Here is a 20,078-nt window from a genome sequence, read left to right on the forward strand (position 1 = left end):
ACAGAAATGAAGCCTCATCAGTCTCTAATACATGAACACAGGTGGCTCATACATCACATAGGCCTCAAGTATTTTGAGGGAGGCATAGGAGCTTCATGGCTAACACGAAGGGGTCAACAGTGGCACCCTTTGGGGCTCACTCGCCTTTCCTGAATTGCAGTTCATACATGCCCTATTAAGTGGATTTAGAGATTATATAATCTAATTTTTAACTAAACTAATCCTCACAAAATGGACAATTGGCTTTAAAAGATCCCACCAAAGGAACTGTGGATAGAAGATAACACTAATTGAACAAGCACAAGTGAACAGCAATGATAAACAAGAATCTGCCGAGCCGACACTTCTACCCTACTTGAGCTCTATGTCAGCCACGATATAGCTCACAAAGCAGTGGTACTAGAATCAGATCCGGCAAGAGATCTGCCAAAACAATCCAAAATTATCAAGAGGAAATTTATATCTGCTCTCTTTAATATATACTTCTAAGTATATATTATGCCTTAAAGTACTAACTAATGAGATTTTGAAGCCATCATGATTGGCAGAACATTGAAACATAAAACACTCAGAATGGGAAGACATGCCTCTATGAGAGGGGGTTTTAAAAAGCACAATTTTACATAATTTTTAGCAAATTGAATAATACATGTATGAAGCTTTTTGAGATTTCTTAATATATGAGAACTACTTTACATTTGCATAATATAACATCTTATATTATAAATTGATATAATATATGACTCTTTGAAATGTTTGCATTAAAAAGATTCAATATGTAGCTGCTGAAGTGTTTTCAAGTTCCATGACTATGCAGAAGTTTTTACTCTATCTCTGACATCACAAAATGCTAAATGCTGTTATTGCCTTTCTGTTGTTAGAAGTTGTCACTGTTCAACTCTCTCTGGGGAGATTGATTTACCTGGGTATACTTCTGCAAACTTCTATAATTCCCTATTCATTGACTTGAAGGTAAACTACACACTATACATACAGCAGTGTATGGTAACTGTCTTTGAGAACTTTGCCAATTATTTTTAAAATATTACAATGAGTACAGCCTTTCTGAGAAAATCTTCAGAAGAACAAACAGTAACTCATGAAAGAAAAGGGATTAAAATCCTAATATATTTTGTTTAGGTTGAGTTTATGAAAAACCAAGACGAAAATCAACGACAAACTCCATTCTTTATTTAAATATTGCCTATCTCCCTAATGAACTATTTCACTCAATCATTAGTAAAAAAAAATAGTAAAATACAATGTTTTTTTTAAACTCTCTTCAGTTTAGAATTTTCTGACTAGCTGTCCTTGTGCTTTCAGATTAATAATGCAGTAGGATTTCTCCTGCTCTTATTTATGTAGAAAGTAAAGGAAGCATTGTAGTTTTGGTGTCACAGATAAAAAACATTCCAAATCAGAATCTATGGAGTGTCAAATGCTCAAATGTATTGACTTTCAACATTAAGAAAACATTAGTTTGGTTTTTATCCAAAGTCAAAGGCTATTTTCCTCATTTGCCACATGAAACTTGAACACACATTTGTGTTCATCTAAACAGTTCACATTCTCTTCTCTTCAGCATTAGAGAGAGCCATAGATTTATTTTTATGGCTGTAGATTTTGAAAGCATTTGTTCTTCACCCAGAACTTACCAATTCAGAATATATTTTTCTTATCATATACCATTAATAAGAATTTCGTTAAAATTAAGCCCTTGACTCAAGCGTACATTGGTAGCATTTAGTTGTCATGGGTAGCACCAAATGCCTAGGCCCTGAGAACAATGCAACGAAGTCAGTAGCAATTCACCAACCTAAAATATATGTACCCCAAATCAACGCCACTTTAAAGATAAACAAGCATTTGGCACACTAATAAATAATGCTGTAAATCTTGCTATATTGGATTGCAAATAACTCCAACTGAATAAAATTGCATGACACAGGATTTACTTATTCTGCACATTCATAAAAACAACTTGTTCCCTGACAGCACTCATTCTTGGCAATTTACCACAGCTGTCAGCAGCCAATTTGTTCAGATTACTGCTCTGCATAAAAGTGTAACAATCATGGGGATTTATTAGCTGATTATCGTAAAGGGGGCAGTCCGTCTTGCCTGCCAAAATGCAGGTGATCAGAAAGTTAAATAATTACATGCAGATTAACATTATTTCACCTTCACTTGAAATTTGTAGTTCAGTGACAGGTAAAATTTGTTGTTCAAACTTGCAATATGGTGTGCATCACCTAAGTTAGTTTACCGAGTACTTGGCATTTTACTGAGCACTCCATGGCTCCAGGACAACATGCTGAATACAAGAGTGTGATGAAATAAGCATGGACTTTAGATTGATCTGGATTTGAGCCTCAGATCAATCACTCCACTGGCTGAGCAACCTCTTAACTGCCCTCAGCCTCACTATTTGCATCTGCAAAATTGGTATAATATGAACCACCCCTGCTACCCCAGAGTGTAAAGCTAATGTGTATAATAGGGCCCTGCAGGTTGTAAAGCATTATTATTATTGTTTCTTTCCATTTATGGTAAATTTACTTTTGTGTAAAGTTTTACAACCAGACAGCTCCGTAGATATCATGATGATGAAAAGTTATAGTAAGTGTCTTGGTAAATGTATAGCCTACTTTTCCCCCAAATATGGCCATTTATTATTACTGAAGTATAAAGATTATTCAGACACTTTTATACTTTAACTAATTCATTCTTCTCTTTTGCATTATATTCAATTACCTTTCCACAGTTACACTGAAACTTTCTTACCTTCAACTAAGTCATGTTGTTCTAATTGCCTTTCCATTAATGCCTGGTGTCAGATCAGCATTTGTCTGACAAAGAGCCATAATTTCCAGTGTTAAATCAAGCTTCAGGGATTTATATTCAAACCCAGGAAATATTTACTGAGTGCTTGGTGCCAGATACTTGTTTAGGTATGGAGTATGTTGCAGTGAACAAAACACTCAAAAAATCCCTGCCCTCGTGGAGCTTACATTCTAATGAGGGAAAATAAATGATAACATAAATAAGATGCATAGTTTGCCATATGGTGGTTGCTTTAATGGAGAAAAACAGAGCAGAATAGAGGAATGGAATGCCAAGAAAAGCAGGTTCAATTTTAAATAGGCTTGGTATGGACGCCTCCCTGATGAGACATTGGTGCACAGATCTAAAGAAGATGAAGAAGCAAGGCAGGTGAGTGGATCCCTGAAGAAAGTTAGATAGAGGGAAAGGTCCTGAGGTGGGAGGGTGTCTGGTATGCCTTGAGGAACAGCAAAGAGGCCAGCTGGCTGAAAGTGAATGAAGGACGGGGATAGGCAGAATAGCAGAAGTTCATAGTAGACAAGCAACAAGGCCAGATTGTGCAAAGTCTTATAGGCCACTGAAGGGACTGTGGCTGTCCCTAGATTATGATGCAAAACAATTAAAGGATTTGGAACAGAGGAGTTAAGTTACTTTATTTTTGTTTTAAAAATATTACTCTGGCTGCTAATTGGAAACAGACTGTTGTGGGAGGGGAGGTGTGGAAGGAAGAACAGGAGGCTGTTGCTACTGTCCATATGAAAGCTGATGGTGGCTTTGACCACAATGATAATGATAGAGATGATGAGCGGTCGAGAATCCTCAATATGTTTTGAAGAAAAATTATCAGGTTGCTGATTGATTTGATGAGAGTGAGAGAAAGAAAGGAATCAAACATGGTTCCACGATTTTTGGTGTTAGCAACAAACAAGAGAAGGCTGAAGGAGGAGCAGATGTGTGGGACTGAAGGTTAGAAGTTTAGCTTTGCACATTCTAAATTGGAGAAATCTATTAGACTTTCAAATAGTGATATCAAGTAGGCAGTGCAATATAGGAATCTGGAATGCAGAGAAGAGTTATGGAGTGGAGCTGGACTCTTGTGAATCAATGAAGTCACCATGGGAGCCAGTATAGATGAAGAAGATGCCCAAAGAGTGAGCTCCGAGGCTTTCCAGAACTACAACATGAGGGGATGAGGAAAAACCTGCAAAGGAGACAAGAAAGAGCATGCAGTGAGGTAAGAAAAAAACAAGGAGCATGCGGTGTCCTGGAAGGCAAGCGAAAAATGTGTTTTAAGGTAAGGAAGGGGTCAGCTAAATCCAGTACTGCTGCTGGGTCAGGTTAGACGAAGGTTGAAAACTGGTCATTGAATTGAACAATGTGGTGGGCTTGGGGGACATTGACAGGAGTAGTTTTGGTGGCTTGTTGGGGGCAAATGCCTGACTATATTAGTTCAAGTAAGAATGGAAGTGGGGGCTGGGCGCAGTGGCTCACACCTGTTAATCCCAGCACTTTGGGAGGCCGAGGATGGTGGATTGCTTGAGCTCAGGTCTTCAAGAACAGCCTTGGCAGCATGGCAAAACGCTGCCTCTACCAAAAATACAAAAATTAGCCGGGCATGGTGGTGCATGCTTGTGGTCCCAGCTACTCAGGAGGCTGAGGTGGGAGGATCGCTTGAGCCCAGGAGGTGGAGGTTGCAGTGAGCCGAGGTCGCACCACTGCACTCCAGCCTGGGCGACAGATCGAGACCCTGTCTCAAAAACAAAAACAAGAATGGAAGTGGGTAATGTTCAGTACTAAAATAGTTTTAACTCTTTGACACTCCAGATTTGCAAGTGGCTCTTTCATTCATAGCCAGTCTTATTTTTATTAAATATAATGAAACAAACTCTGTTATTGAGTTTGCATTTACAAAATATATTTTAAAAAATCATTATATATGACCAAAAATGGAAAGTAAAATAGACAATTATAAACCATAGCATAATAAACTAGTCTATATAGATAATGTAATCCATACAAATGTTCTCAAATTTGGGACTCAGCTCAGACAGTACCCTTAAAAAATGTTACTAGCCATTGAAGGAATAGTATTACCCTCCATGGCCAACTTTAAACTTACTCACAAGCCTCCAGCAAATTCCTAGAATAGTCTCTACTTTCAAAATTAACAGACACAGAATGTTGCAGTGAGAGCTTGCAAAAAAGGACAGATGATTATGATGACAGTTTTATTACTGTTACTTCACCCTGAATACTCAAATTTAATTGGAAAGTAAGTCAATTGTCTTTGAAACTATTCTAGGAATTAAGTAATTCTATTATAATCTGTATTATCTCCACTGTTTCCATGCAAGCTTCAAATAAATAAAGAAACACAACTTGCCTGATACTTAGGTATAATAACATGTTGCTTTTCAGCGGCAAGATGCTTTTAAAGAGCAATTTAACAAGCGTCAAGTTAGAGACCTGGAATTTTCAGTGCCATCTGGATATCAAAAAGATTTGAAATGATGATGCATCATAGTTATTTCCCTTTTCTGCAAAAGGCAACCTTGCTAATTTAGGAGTGTGCAGCATGTTTCTATTGTCCATCTTTCAGTATCTCAAAATCTAACACTCATTCCTTTCATTGTGTAAACCAGTATAAACCACTACTCCAGAGCTGTCTTGTCTATACCTGTGCTCATTTCACTCTAAAACTTTTGGGCTTAAATTGCTCTCATAGGCAATTAAGTTTGGTATATGACCGAAAATAGACTTCTCTTTTTCAAGCTTCCACAGATACCTGGAATAATCCCTATGATCTTCTACCCAGCAATTTGTACTGTTTTCTCAAAAATTAGCCAAAATATGAAAACCCTTTAGAAACAAAGTGAAGTGAGATAGTTAGGTCCACCTTTCTGTCAACCATGTCTGCCCTTGAAGAACTCATAATGTTATTAAGTGAGGAAAAGAAAATGATCAGTCCCAATTGGCCTGAGAAATTTTCACAGTTTTTAAATTGGAAAATTCTTACCAAAGGAAAAAAATATAAAAGAACATCTGTCATTATACGAAAAAAAAAATAGAGAGAAGAAGGGATATGAAGGAATGTAATGTATACCTAGAAATACAGGTAGCCAGAATATTTACAGCATAATCTCCATTATTTTACCAAGATAAGAGAGTTTGAATACAAAGAAATAAGGTTGAAGTAGCAAGTTACACATGCCCATCATTCTGATTATCTTGTGGTCACCAAATATAACTAATATTATTATAACCAAAGAAAATGAACTAATCATTCGAGGAATAGCTACTTAGCACCTTCTCGAAAGAGCTCATAGCCTATTGAGGGAGACAGAATCTTAGATATATAATTATAATGAAATGCATTTAATGTATTAACAGATGTGGTATATCCCAAAGAGAACAAGATAAAACTTTAGGAAAACTCTGAAAATAGTGTTTTAATTAAGGGAAAAAATGTGCAATAAAGGCCTGTGCTTTAAAAAGGCTTGAAATGTAATGTAGTATTAGATTACGGTGGTGTTTTCCAAGCTCACTTTACAAGTAAAATAGTAAAGGCTACCTGAAGCTCATCTTTGACCTCTCACTATATAATCCTATGAAGAAAATGATATATATATAACTGCATCATAAAAAAAATCAAGAGATAAATATGTTGGATTGGATTCCTGTTCTTACTTTTCTGGAGTATAATTTATTTTACTCTTAGTATGTATAAATTTTCTTCAAGCTGTATGTTTAAAGACTTGGAATTTCATGTAAGCTACAGTGAGGAAAGAATTTTTTTTTAATTTAAAAAATTAACAAATTCTTCAGTACACCACACTTTATTTCAATATTGGCAGGTTTCAATGTGTTTTGCTACAAAGACACATATATAACTATCAAAAAATATAAACATAGGCTTTAAATTAAGAAAACATATGATTCAAGTAGTCACTCAAAATAACCTTAACTTTGTGAAAAATGTCATGTAAGCCTCAGAATACTCCTTTCTTTACTGTGCTATCAGATTAACATGGATCTGCCTCACTTACATGCTTCCTACACTAATACTTGGGAACTCTTTACAGATTTATGAACTCCAAGGAGATTACAAGCATTCTCTACCTTGTAGGGCGTTGTAGAAAATAATGCATTTTACGGTGATAGTATGCTTTATGAAAATAAATATTATCTTAGATCACTTTACAGACTATGAATATGGTCTTTGTTCCTTTATGTATCTTATATCAGATGAAATTCCTCTTTCTCAACTCCCATAACTTTGACATCTGGAGAAAATTCATGGATATCAAATTCAGATAGCCTGTGTCCATCAACTGGTCAAAACCGCCACCTACTGGTCAGTTTTTGAATCTATTTTTCAGTTCATCCAAGCATTGCCTTACCATGGTAAAGTCCCTTTCTTCAAAACAGTAAAGATCATTTACAATAACCAGGCTTACAGCAAATATTCTTTTAATAAAAATGCTCTAGGAGTGAACCAAAAATTACAAATTGCACAAACCTGCCAATGAAATCATCCCTTTTCCCAGCATCTTTGTCCCATGCAGTGATATCAATGACTCCTCCTCTTTCTTCATAAAGGTGAAAATCAAATTGTTCCCTCCACTGAGGATTCAACGTTTTTGGCATAATCTGGAAAAAAAAATCATAATTGTCATATTGCTAGCAGCTTTTTAAAAAAAACTTCAACCTGAGACACTAAATCAAACTTTTGGTACTATAGTATCTAGAAAAGCACGCTGTGTGCTATTTGAAAAAAAGATTACAGAAATAATGGAAATAACTCATTAGATCTCCAGCATCTTTACTGAATAGTACATGAATGGACCTCAATGGATGTGTCCTGAAAATCACAAGACATTCTTTGATTATTTTAAATAACAGATAAGATATATAAATTATATAGAAGAGGTAATAATCTATGAAAGAAATAGCTCACTCGGATACTAGCAATATTTTACATAATCATAGTTAATGCATTAAGATATAACTCATAGCCAGTCAGTCATCTCAAAATAAAGGAGAATGAGGATTTTCAGAGTTTGTTTTTTTCTTACTTGCCATACACATTGGAATCCTGACTTGAGTACATGAAAAACAGACAATGAATTTCTGTGAGAGCAGGAGAAAAACGCAAGTAGCTTTTGGGTAGTCAGGCAAACTTTTATCTTAGACTTATAGCACTGATGTAGTATCTCATGTTATAGATGGATAAGCTGAGACCTAGAGTTTAAGTGACACACCTACGGTCAGTATGTTTTAGTATCTAGACACTAACTCAAAGTCTTTGATTAAAGCTTCGGGACTCTTCCCCCAAAACCATATGCCAAAAATGTCTGTGAAATAATAAATGAATATATGAGTATATATGTATGTATACATGTATATATGTATGAGTATATACATATGTATATGCATGTATACATATATGTATGTGTGCATACATATATGTATATATACATATATGTGTATACATATATGTATGTATGTATATATACACATATGTGGATATACTCTTTGTGTTGCATATACAAGAAAGATATCTGAAATGTAATTCTGTAACTTCAAGTATTCAGATAAGTCATCCTGTATGGTAGAATCAATGAGCAAAGTAACCTATATTGATAGGAATGGAATTTTAAAATTCCATTCACCATTGGGTTAAACAACATTTATATTTGTTTCCTTGTTCTTTCTTTTTAGCAGGAAGGCATGCAGTGGCCTTTTCTCTTTTTAATGTATGGCAGACAGATCTTCAGATGTAAAGTTTGAAAGCAATGAAGTATGTTATATGCAAAGGTAATGCAAATGAATCACAATTTTTAAAGTTCATAATCTGAAATTAATCAGCGATAGATCAAGGAAAGAAAGAGCAAAGAGAGACACATGTCCATTGCTGGGTTTCATATTTCATACCTAAAGAGCAGAACTATAAAAATAAGTAATGTTTTTAGCCTAACTAGAACACGGAAATGGTGCTAACTAAGAAAGGAGAAGATAGAAGTGGTCATAGGTACCTATTTTTGGAATCAGTAGCTACTTTAATATATGTTATATATTATAGCTACTTTAATATAAGCCCCATGGCAGAAAAAAAATGGCACTGAATGAAGGCTATGATAATTTAAATGTCTTATAATCAGGCTCAGATGAACTTCTGTGGTATTTTGGGGTGTGGTCTGTCTTTACTTATCTGGCCTTAAACAGACTAAATTTTCAGTTTTCTTTTCTAGGATTGCCTTCCCTATATTATTTCCTTCAGGTCAGAAATAATGCCTTCCCTTTCTATGTGGACACTCCAATCAGCCTGCTAGCAATACTCACTGCCTGCTAATGATGGGCTCTCTGATATTTTTAACTACCTTAAGTACTAGTGAAAACTTCCTGGGCTGGAAGGGACCTAAGCAGGCTGTTTATCAAAAATCTATAGAGATTATGACACTAAGGTGAATAAATGCCCATCAGAATGGAATGTGATCTTTAATACAAGACGGATATGATCAGTTGTCCTAAGCTGTCTATGAATAACATCTGTAAAAACTGACCAATAAAGAGGACATAGTTCATTACAACAGAGATAAGATGATATGGTTTGGCTCTGTGTATCCACCGAAATCTCATGTCATATTGTACTCCCCACATGTTGGAGGAGGGGCCTAGTGGGAGATGATTGAATCATGGGGGCGGACATCCCCCTTGCTGTTCTTATGATAGTGAATGCATTCTCACAACATCTGGTTGTTTAAAAGTGTGTGGCACTTCCCTTTTCACTCTCTCTCGCTCTGCCATAGAAAGACATGCTTGATTCCACTTTGCCTTCTGCCATGATTGTAAGTTTCCTGAGGCCTCCCAGCCATGCTTCCTGTACAGCTTGCAGAACTGGGAGTCAGTTAAACCTCTTTTCTTCATAAGTTACCCAGTCTGAGGTAGTTCTTTATAGAAGTGTGAGAATGAACTAATACATAAGACATGTGCCAAAAATATAGTTATGACTACTAGACCCTTATTCATTATTACTTATATTACTAATATTATTGTTTAATACATTATTACTACTACTATAATTGATACTATACGATATACTTCTTACTACTGTTGTTACTCTTCCTCTTCTGCTATTTTTGTTTGCTGAGTGATTATGGACAAGGCAGTATTCTAAGCCCTTTAAATGCGTAACATATATTCATTTAATCTTAGTAAATTTGTTAGGTAGGCATTATTTTAACTCTCATTTTTACAGATGGGAAAACTAAGATATGGAGAGACAAAGTAACTTGTTCTAATAAATTTTAAAATTTGCTATTTGCATTGGTACAAGTCAGGTTGGATAAAGTGTATAAGAGTAACATACAAAGATTTTTATGGCATGTAAAATAATGCTATTTATAATACTGATATTAGCACTAGTTGTAATAATGTTAAAAGCTACACTCTTGGGAGGCCAAAGTGGGTGGATCATCAGGTCAGGAGATCGAGACCATCCTGGCTAACATGGTGAAACCACGTCTCTACTAAAAATACAAAAATTAGCTGGGCATGGTGGTATGCACCTGTAGTCCCAGCTACTCGGGAGGCTGAGAGAGGAGAATTGCTTGAACCCGGGAGTCGGAGGTTGCAGTGAGCCAAGATCATGCCACTGCACTCCACACTCCAGCCTGGTGACAGAGTGAGACTCCATCAAAAAAAAAAAAAAAAAAAAAAAAAAAAAAAAAAAAAAGCCGCACTCTGAGTACTTTATGTGCCAGGCATCAACTATGTGTTTTCTGGGTGGCTGTTATTGTTTTAATCCACAGAGCTATGCCAAGGGATAGTTCCAACTATTATTGCTATGTTGTAGATGAAGAAATTGGGACATAGACAAGTAGTTTATGGGAGGTCACCTAGTACATAAATTTAAAAATGCTATACAATTATTGGTCTTGTTTTCTGACATGGTGTTCAAAAGAGTTTGTTAAGCATTTAAAACATTATCTAGTGGTTTCATCTCCTAAAGCAGGGCTATTAACCAACCAATGCCTTCCAAATATTGACAGGAACACAATAGAGACAAGGTTACCTTGCTCTTGTACTTCTGATGCCCAAGCCGGAACTTCACGTAGGGATCGCTCAACCCGTTGGAATCCATGGCCTTGAGGTCTCTCCCTTCAATCAAGGTGATGCTGACTATTCCTCTCCAAAGATGCGATTTTCTGTGTAGGTCTGATAGGCGTAAACTTTGGGTCTGAAACTTTTGGCAAATGAAAATTGAGTTAGGTTACTGTGTTTTAAACCCAAAAACCTCATTTTGGCGTTACCTTTTCTCCTGTTATGATTCTTCAAAAAATAAAGGATCGGCAATTATAATTTTTTTAACTAAAAATAATTATGAATTATTAATTAATTATAAAATTAATAAATTATGAAATTATCATTTCATGATAAATTCGTTGTGTAAAAGAGTTGAGTGTTCAAAATACAGTCTAGCTTTTCAATTCTTAAGATTACAAGATGTAGATACTTCAAGAATATCAGAGAATATTTGCATGTGTGCCAAATAGGCTTATGCCAAAATATGTATACAATAAATGTTAGAAATATCAAAGGCCTCGTTCATACTGTGGTATTTAATTTTTAAACTATTTATGGTGTTTGAAGATCTCTATGTTATAAATATATTTTACAGGTGGTTTTTAATTGCAAGATTAGTTGCAAGTTCTATCCAGATAGTTTAAAAACTTCTTTCTTGCCACATTTGGAGATTATTGAGCTTCAGATTGCTAAAGGACAATTTAAGTTACCACAAAATAGAAAACAAAATCAATAAGCCCATCTAAGATGTCTTGCTTATACCTAAAACTTTCATCACAAATATTTAAAATGTTTAAAGTTACCCATGTGATTTATATTGGCAAGTATGTTTCTGAATTTATTTTACATTTTAGTATCTGAATATTTTCTTTAATGACTTTTATTATTCTTTTTTTTTTCTTTTTAGAAACAGAGTCTTGCTCTGTCACCCAGGCTGGAGTGCAGGGGTATGGTCATAGCTCACTGTAACCTCAAACTCCTGGGCTCAAGTGATCCTCCCAAGTAGCTGGGACAACAGGCATGCACCACTGCACCCAGCTAATTTTTATTTTTTATTTTTGTTTGTTTTGTTTTTAGAGAAAGGGTCTTGCTTGGTTGACCAGGCTGGAGTGCAGTGGCATGATCATAGCTCACTGCAGCTTTGAACTCCTAGCTCCAAGTGATCCTCCTGCCTCAGCCTCCCAAAGTGCTGGGATTACAGGCATAAGCCACCACACCTGGCTTAGACTTTTATTAAAATTTGCAAGTCTACTAAAAATGGCCACATAATCTCTTTAAACTAAAAAGGACATAAAACAAGCCATAGAAAGTAACTAAATGTGAAAACATTTTCAATCTGGATTCAGCATCAAGCAGTACTGTAAAAATAGTTTCTTTCATATTATCAAATGTGTTTTTCCTACTCACAGTCATTTCATAAAGAAATTCAACATTCCTCTCAACCTCAAAGTACACTTCTAAATTACGGATTAGCACTACTTTCTATCTGATCCGTTCTACGTTAATGTTACAAAGTTACAGTCTATTTTACGTAACTCTGCCTCCCACTTTGACTTCCTACCTTTTTCCATACCAGAGCAACGCCATAGGTATTTTTATCATCATCATCAAAAGTCATGCATTTCAGAGTGCTTCTATTAGGAAAATGAAAACTACATTCTTCAAAAGATAATACTTCTAATATTTGAACATTTCAATGAAAATCTTTCAAAATCACATTGCATATTTTCCTGCCTTGTTGAACACAGCACATTTTGAACTTTGCCTGGTGGCTCTGCCCTATGAATATCAACGCAGGCTTTTGTCTACATACTCTTCATCCCTGTGAGCTTCAAGAGCAGCATTCAAATGTGTTCTGAAGTGTAATGGAGAATTCATGGAGCACCTGCAAGTTCTGCAGAACTCCATGCCCACTTCAGCTGGAGCCCCTCTGCTCCTGTCTGTTCTCCATATTGGATTTCCACATTGGATTTTGTTGAACAGAGGACTTCTCAGATGAAAGTAATTGTTTAGAATTTGTTGCGCCCAGTTATGCCCAAGGTCTTTGTTTTAGTTCTAAGATTTCATGCAACTTATTATTATATAATCCAGCTGTAGATTTTGGTGTATGACTGGTTTAACCACTTCTGCTGCTGTTGAGACTGCCTCTAACAGCAGACTCTAGAGAATTGGGTTTTAAACTTTGGACTGGAAACTTTTTTAAGGAATATGAGTAGCAAAGAAGGAAGCAAAGAAAACAAATGTTGTGGCAAGCAAGAAGAAGTAATTATTTTAGCAAAGATCAAGGAGCTAATAGCTGCCAACTTATATAGAGCTTTAGAATTTAAAAGTGTACATATCTACATTACAACATTTGGTTCCCACGAAAACCCCATGAGGTCAGAAGGCAAGGCTTCTTAGCCCCATTTTACTGATGGAACTCAGAGTGGTTGTGCTCATAAATGGTAGATATATGACTAGAACCCCAATATTTCTCATCTTTATTCCTGAGCTTCCCCAATACAAGTGTTTAGGGTGGAGATTCTCTCATAGGTTAAAAGGTAAGTATGATTGAAACAAAATGTTTCCAAAGGGTACTCTCCACTTAAGTGGCAAGCACATGGCTAATTCATGAAATTGTCTTTTACTTTTCTATTATATGACCACATGTGTTTATAATATTTCAGCTTGTTGAAGAATATACTTAATGCCATTTTTCTATGTGCTCTCTAGAAGCAGTCAAATAGTAGCTGGGTAAAAGCTAGTTTACACAGTGTCTTCAATTAGCAATGTGAAGTAAGTTTCTTTAACAGTGCCATGTCTAAAATAGTGCCTTCCTTGCTTGCTCCTCCTTTCATTTTGTTTTCTGGTTTTTTTGTTTGTTTGTTTTTAACATGAGAACATGAACTTGGCTTACAGAGTGAGGGAGAGAAAAGCCATTTTCACCCTGTAAGTCAAGTTCATGTTCTCATGTAAAGCTCACAGGAGGAGAAAAGATTCCATTTTCCATTGGGTCCTTTATGCTTTCACAGAAATAAAATGAACATAATAGAGACTTTACCTACTGCCATTAGTTGCTGTGAAATGCTTTTCTATAACCCAGAAGAACATTTCCAAAACAACTTGGGGAGCTAAGTGGGAGGAAGGAGAACATTTCTTCATAAAAACAGGGCTAATGGGTGTGGTAATTATGGGGACCTGCACATAAGGCTAAGAAGAAGAAATTTAAAAAGTTTCAAAGATATTCTATTCAGATATTTTTTAAGTGATGTTTTCTTCTTCAATAATTTTTGTTCAAAATGGTACTTCTCTACAAAGAAACTCCATAATTCAATTGTAGATTTTATTGAGCAACTGCATAGTCATGAAACTGTTAAATATTTAGTCTATGCATGAAGAAGTGAGACTTGAAATAAAATTACAGGTAAAGGTAAAAGATATAAACATAGGCTACCAACAGCAGAAAAGATAAGCATGTAACATAAATAAATGTTCACTCACATCTTCCTAGCAATTTCTGGCTATATGCTTGGGCATGTTTCTCCCTCTCTGGGACTCAGTTTTCTTATGTTTGATTTTTCTAGACTGTACTTCAGGGCCCCAGGTGTACTAACAACACTTTTCTGTGTGTATCTACGGGTGGAGGGAGGTTGTGTGTTCAGGGGCCTACAGAGAAAGAAGTACACTCCATAAACAATGAAGATTTAGCTTGCTCAAGATAGTCATTTATTACTTTTACTTATTTTCAGAATCAAAGTTCTGGGGAGCTCATTGAGGGAGTGGGGATGGGCAGAATACCACGGCAAAAAGAAACTTTGCAAACTATGAAATTCTGATGCTCTCCAAGGTAACTTCTGAGTCACTTGCTGCTCTGTTTAAAAAGTTTGCTTCCTCTGTATAGCAAATCTCTCAAATATGTGGTCCACAGACCAGTGGCATTGATGTCACCTGGGAACTTTTTAGAAACTCAAATCCTCTGACCCCATCTAGACTAACAGCATCAGAAACTCTGGGAGTGGAGCCAGGCATTCTGGTTTAACCAGCCTGCCAGGTAATTCTGATACACACTCTAGAGTGAGGATTCTTGCTTTGAAAGTTATGTGGTGCATGCGCACTGGCTTCTCTTTGTTCTAATAACTATTAATACAATTGTAGACATTAACGTGAATATTATTTATGCTATTTAAAGTCCTTTTTTAGTCCTGCTTCTAAATTTACTGATTAGGGAAGCATATTGGTCTAGATATTTGGAGTATTTAAAAAGAGAAGTAGGACCCTACTGAATAATTATGAAAAGCTGTGCTTCTTTTCTTCCTTTATTATTTTTTCTCCTAAATATATCTAAATAACACATATTTATTGAAGTGTTGCTAGTCCACCAAAATCACTTATTGAGCACCTAAAGGGCAAGGAGTATTAAACAAATCCAAGGTATCACTCAATAAAATTTGCATATTGCGGCTGGTACTTAGTTTTCTGAGGTAATGCTCTCAACTAGGTCCTTGTTGAATTAGAACTCTTCTTGAGGAGGACAAGAAAAAAGGCAGGAAGAATAAAAAGGAAAAAACCAACCTTGTTCTTCAAAGCAAAGAACAAAACCAAAGCCCTTAAAAGGAAGGAATAATCTTTGAACTTGTAAGGTAGTTGTTCTCAAATTCTAGCAGTCAATTTACTGAAATTGCGTGATTCTCTGAGATGTGATTCAGTTCTTATGGAGTAGAGCTGTATCTGTATTTCAGTATGTGCCCCATGTGATTCTCATACATCCAAAGTTTTAGATCCACTTTCATAAGGAGTATTCATCCAAGTTCATAATTAATAAAGAATATCAAGACACCAGGTAACAATACAGATTTCAAAGTCTGAAGCAATTAGTCCATAACATGTATCTTTAGTAAGATTTTAGAACAAATGAGCTGGCAATGTAAAGAAAGTGTTAGTTACATTATTCCTTGAAAAAAATTAAGATTACAATTCCTTTTCATATCTACAAAATAGGTTAGTATAGGGAGTGGGTTTTCAGTACAGTAAGTTGGCTCTCAGAAATCCCAGCTCATGCAAGCTCAGAAAAAAATAAATGAACTGAATGGTTGAACTTACTTGTACATTTTTGCAATAAGGATTCTGAAGCTCTGCTCTGCAGAAGCCCAGGACAGGAAGAGCTGGCCTGCCGCACGTCTGGATGGAAATGAATGATCAGAGCTGTACGGGGAAGCTTTGTACCATTCTCAACCCCTCATTTTGATCAGCAGTTTGAATTACTCTTCAGAAAACATTATTTGAGAAAATTTGTATTTGCTTCTCAAGTCACTGTCAGAAAATGTCTTATAGCACAATGAAGATAAATGTCAATGCAATTCTACATTTCCAGCCACTATTTTCTTTAGTAGAATGATGCTGCAGTGGTCAAGGAAATGAAGCCCAGAGATTATATGGTAATAGAGCCTAATTAAGTGATTTCAGGTTTTTGTTAATAGGTGCATCAGAGAAAATAACTATAGCAAGAGAAATCATGGAAAGAATAATTGTTTCCAAGTCTGCTGCTTCAAAATGTCAGAATAGTGATAAGCTTTCAGAAAAATAAATGTGACATGAATAGGCAAAAACTAAGATCATATTAACCTTGCATCCCACATGTAAATCTTTTGCAATGATTAAAGAAGTATCTCTAAACTAATAGGGAAATTTTGTCCCACATGACACCTCCCTTTTCTGCCTTTGCTACGAAAAAGTAACCCAAAGATCCCTTCACTACCAAGACCAAGAGTAGCAAGAGATGGATTAAGAAAGATATAGCTGAACAGGAACTCCTGGGGGGAAATTATCATGGTGGGACTGAAAGTTTATATTACAGGTCTTCTGGAGCAGTTAAAGAAAGTTTCTTAACAATAGTATTATGATGAGATTAGAGTGAGTCATCAGCCTTAATAACATCAACAGAGAAGACTGGATTAGGGCAGTCAGAAAGGTGGGTTAAATCACACGGAAAGAAAGGAACATTTATTGTGCAGCTATTACATGCTGCTGTTTTCGCACTCCAGTGTTTTTCATGACAGGAATCTTATTTTAAGGTAAATAAACTGAGGCATAGAGAAGATAAGTACCCCACTCAAAGCCAAATGACTAGAGATTGGCAAGGCTGAGATTTGAATCTAGAGTTGCTGAGACCTAATCAATGATTTCCACCCCCAACCCATGTCTCCCTTTTTTTGACAGAGACTAAGAAATTCATGGTACAACAAAAGAAATTAATTGGTATAGGAGTTTTCAAAATACTTTGCCTGTCACTTAGGTGAAATGTATCCTTGGTTATAGATTATCGAGAAAGGCTAATCGAGGGATTAGAGGAAGTAAGAGTAGGCGGGTGGTAATAACCCTAGCATATGTTATTCACTTTACTCTATAATAAATTATAGTTCAATGTCTACCAGTAAGGTGGTGAAGTCATAGAATCTAGCATATAAATTGGAAGCATTTCTATATTCCAGTTTTAGTTTAAAAAGTTTAGTAATTCCATTTCTTGAAAAGGTGGATCACTAAAAATGAGATATTTTATTTTTCTCGTTGTGATTTAAAAATGGAAAATTAAAAAAAATCGATTTAGACTTAATATGATACTAAGGGAACACAGTTAAACCAATCCCCTTCCCTGATAAGTACAAATAATCCTTGGCTTTTGTTATCCTGGATTTTATTACCTGTGTACAACCTAATCTTTCCAAATGAGACCCAGACACTGAAACGGGGAGTGAAAGACATTGCTTATGTGTTTACAATAAGCCATGTGTGGAATCAGCTCTTTCTTCTATTTTCAGCACAGGGTGCATGTGCTTTTATTTAATCAAATGATCCCCGAGACACTACAAAGAAGAGATAATGACAGCCTAGAATGACTGTTTTGTGCTGCAAAGACGAGTGTGGAGCAATTAGCTCAATCCCAGGCAAAGGCCTGTTCTATCTTTTGCTTTTCCTGCTGAGTTTATTCCAGCGAATTGCACCTGGATGATGAAGTCCAACAAGTGCATTTGTTCTGCCATCCACCCATCCTCTCAAAGTAGGATTGCTTTTACAGAAAACTCTCCCAGTGCTTTGTCCAGCGCAGTCTGAAGTGTCTCATCTTATAATAAAGCTTTGATCCTTTTTTTCTTAGAAGATGATTTACTGGCACCATAATCCTTAGCGAAATTCTGCTGGTTTTTAATCCTTAAACTTTCTTTTGTATTTCCATTGCTTCTTGATACAATTTATGGTGCCAGGAAGTTCTTTATGTTTACTTAAGATGTTTTAACTATCCTCTCTAACTTTAATCGTGGTCCAACAAAATTTCAAAGCTTTTACTACGTTTGTTCGAAAATACATACAAATAGAAAATCATCACATATATTGTAATCGTTTTGGCTTGCTGAAATAATCTACAAATTTCTAGCAATAATATGGGAAAGGAACAATAGTCTTGGGCCTGCCTTACAGAGACCTGTTTTTTTTTTTTTTTTTTGAGACTGTTAATTAAAAGTTACACCTATTTTTGAGTATAAATAACATCATACTTAAAAATGGAGATAATTCCTGAACTCATCTTGGGTGGATGTTACCTATGGTTGAGTTGTTTAGCGTGTAAGTGCTTCAGCACAGGATTCCATTCTTGTTTTAAAAAGCCAACAACTCGGCAGGGCGCGGTGGCTCACGCCTGTAATCCCAGCACTTTGGGAGGCCGAGGCGGGCAGATCACGAGGTCAGGAGATCGAGACCATCCTGGCTAACACATGAAACCCCGTCTCTACTAACAATACAAAAAAATCAGCCAGGCTTGGTGGCGGGCGCTTGTAGTCCCAGCTACTCGGGAGGCTGAGGTAGGAGAATGGCGTGAACCCGGGAGGCGAAGCTTATAGTGAGCCAAGACCGCGCCACTGCACTCCAGCCCGGGCGACAGAGGGAGATTCCGTCTCAAAATAAATAAATAAATAAATAAATAAATAAATAAATAAATAAATAATAAAAAGTCAAAAACTCTTCTCCTTAACCTTCAATCTTCCTTCAGACACACTTTTGCTTGACCTGACCGGAAGGCGGTACTCTGATATAACTTCTAAATTACTTTGTATTTTTCTATGTACTCTCCTTTGCCCATTGTGACCCTTTTCTTGATTTTTATATGAAGTATCTTGGCACGTTCCAGACTTTTCCACTTAAAAAATATTTAAATTTCTCTTTGATTCACTGCAATGTTCTTGTAAGGTGGTTTGCTCAATTAACTCTTTTATCAGGGTCTGTAAGTCCACTCAGTGGAGATAACTAAAAAGAAACTTAAGCATGCTAAATATTTGAACACACTGCACTAAGTTCCCACCTTTAAGTGGGAAGTTAGTCTTTAATACAATTTTTACTTAATCTGATTCACATAATTTTTATTGTTTTCATGAGAAACATGGTAATTGTCATATCCATGGCTTAATATTTTTTATCCTAAGATAGTGTTTTGATGAATAACAAATGTTATGTTTTCAGACAATTAGACTATCCCTGTACACAGTCTTTTCTTCCAGGAAAATTAAGATACAGCAAGTAGCACTGATGTTCCAGCTGAGCAAGTTTTTACTAGGATGTAGTTTCATTCAGTGTAAATCAGTTGCTATCTCTTGGACACATGTATTGATCTGTATAAATCTTGATAGGAATTTATTTCAATTCACATCCTGCTTAACCCACAAAGCACATGTATACTCTTCATGAAAGATTTTATCTACTTAGACATTTTGCATATCTGAAAATGTCCCTGGGTAACCTCCTTTCATATACATCTCCTCTAAAAGCTCATCAGAATAACAATATTGCTTGGGTAAAGAGCAGTGAGGTCAGTTAGTTACCAGAGTGACCTTTGAATGTGACTATGGAAGATAATACTCAACCAAAGTAGACTTGGTCACTGATTTTCTGATTTTGTAAATGGCACATCAGACACAGCAATCTCATGGCTCTTAAACACATCCATCCATTGGTGGCTAACATAGCTGCTGAAGAAAAGGGTCAAATAATGCAAGAAGAATTTGAAAGGGTGTCAATTAAAAATAACAGGCTAAGGAACAGCTTTATTTATACAAGGTATTTTTATTCATCATAAACTCAAAGAGGGACTCTACTGCTGTAAGTTCTTCAAAACATTTATTTGTATGGCATTCAGAGAGAGAGAAATA

The 20,078-nt window shown here is 35.9% G+C and overlaps 1 protein-coding gene across 56 annotated transcripts in view; it reads right to left on the bottom strand.

Moving 5' to 3' along the window:
* MCTP1 (multiple C2 and transmembrane domain containing 1) overlaps positions 1 to 20,078 on the bottom strand; it is a 581,405-nt gene that overhangs the window by 198,219 nt on the left and 363,108 nt on the right. For 33 of the 56 annotated variants that reach the window (XM_047417718.1, NM_001393537.1, XM_047417715.1 and 30 more), the window contains 2 exons: positions 10,898 to 11,068; positions 7,343 to 7,473 (listed from right to left, as the gene is read on the bottom strand). The exons of 1 other annotated variant lie outside the window; for it this stretch is intronic. In XM_047417718.1, the coding sequence (XP_047273674.1) occupies positions 7,343 to 7,473; positions 10,898 to 11,068 (302 nt within the window). Of the gene's footprint in view, positions 1 to 7,342; positions 7,474 to 10,897; positions 11,069 to 15,987; positions 16,066 to 20,078 lie in introns of all 56 variants that reach the window. 22 more of the 56 variants (XM_017009855.3, XM_047417712.1, XM_017009859.2 and 19 more) reach the window with 2 other exon arrangements.

Source organism: Homo sapiens, chromosome 5 (assembly GCF_000001405.40).
Source record: "Homo sapiens chromosome 5, GRCh38.p14 Primary Assembly".
In the NCBI taxonomy this organism is placed as follows: domain Eukaryota; kingdom Metazoa; phylum Chordata; class Mammalia; order Primates; family Hominidae; genus Homo; species Homo sapiens.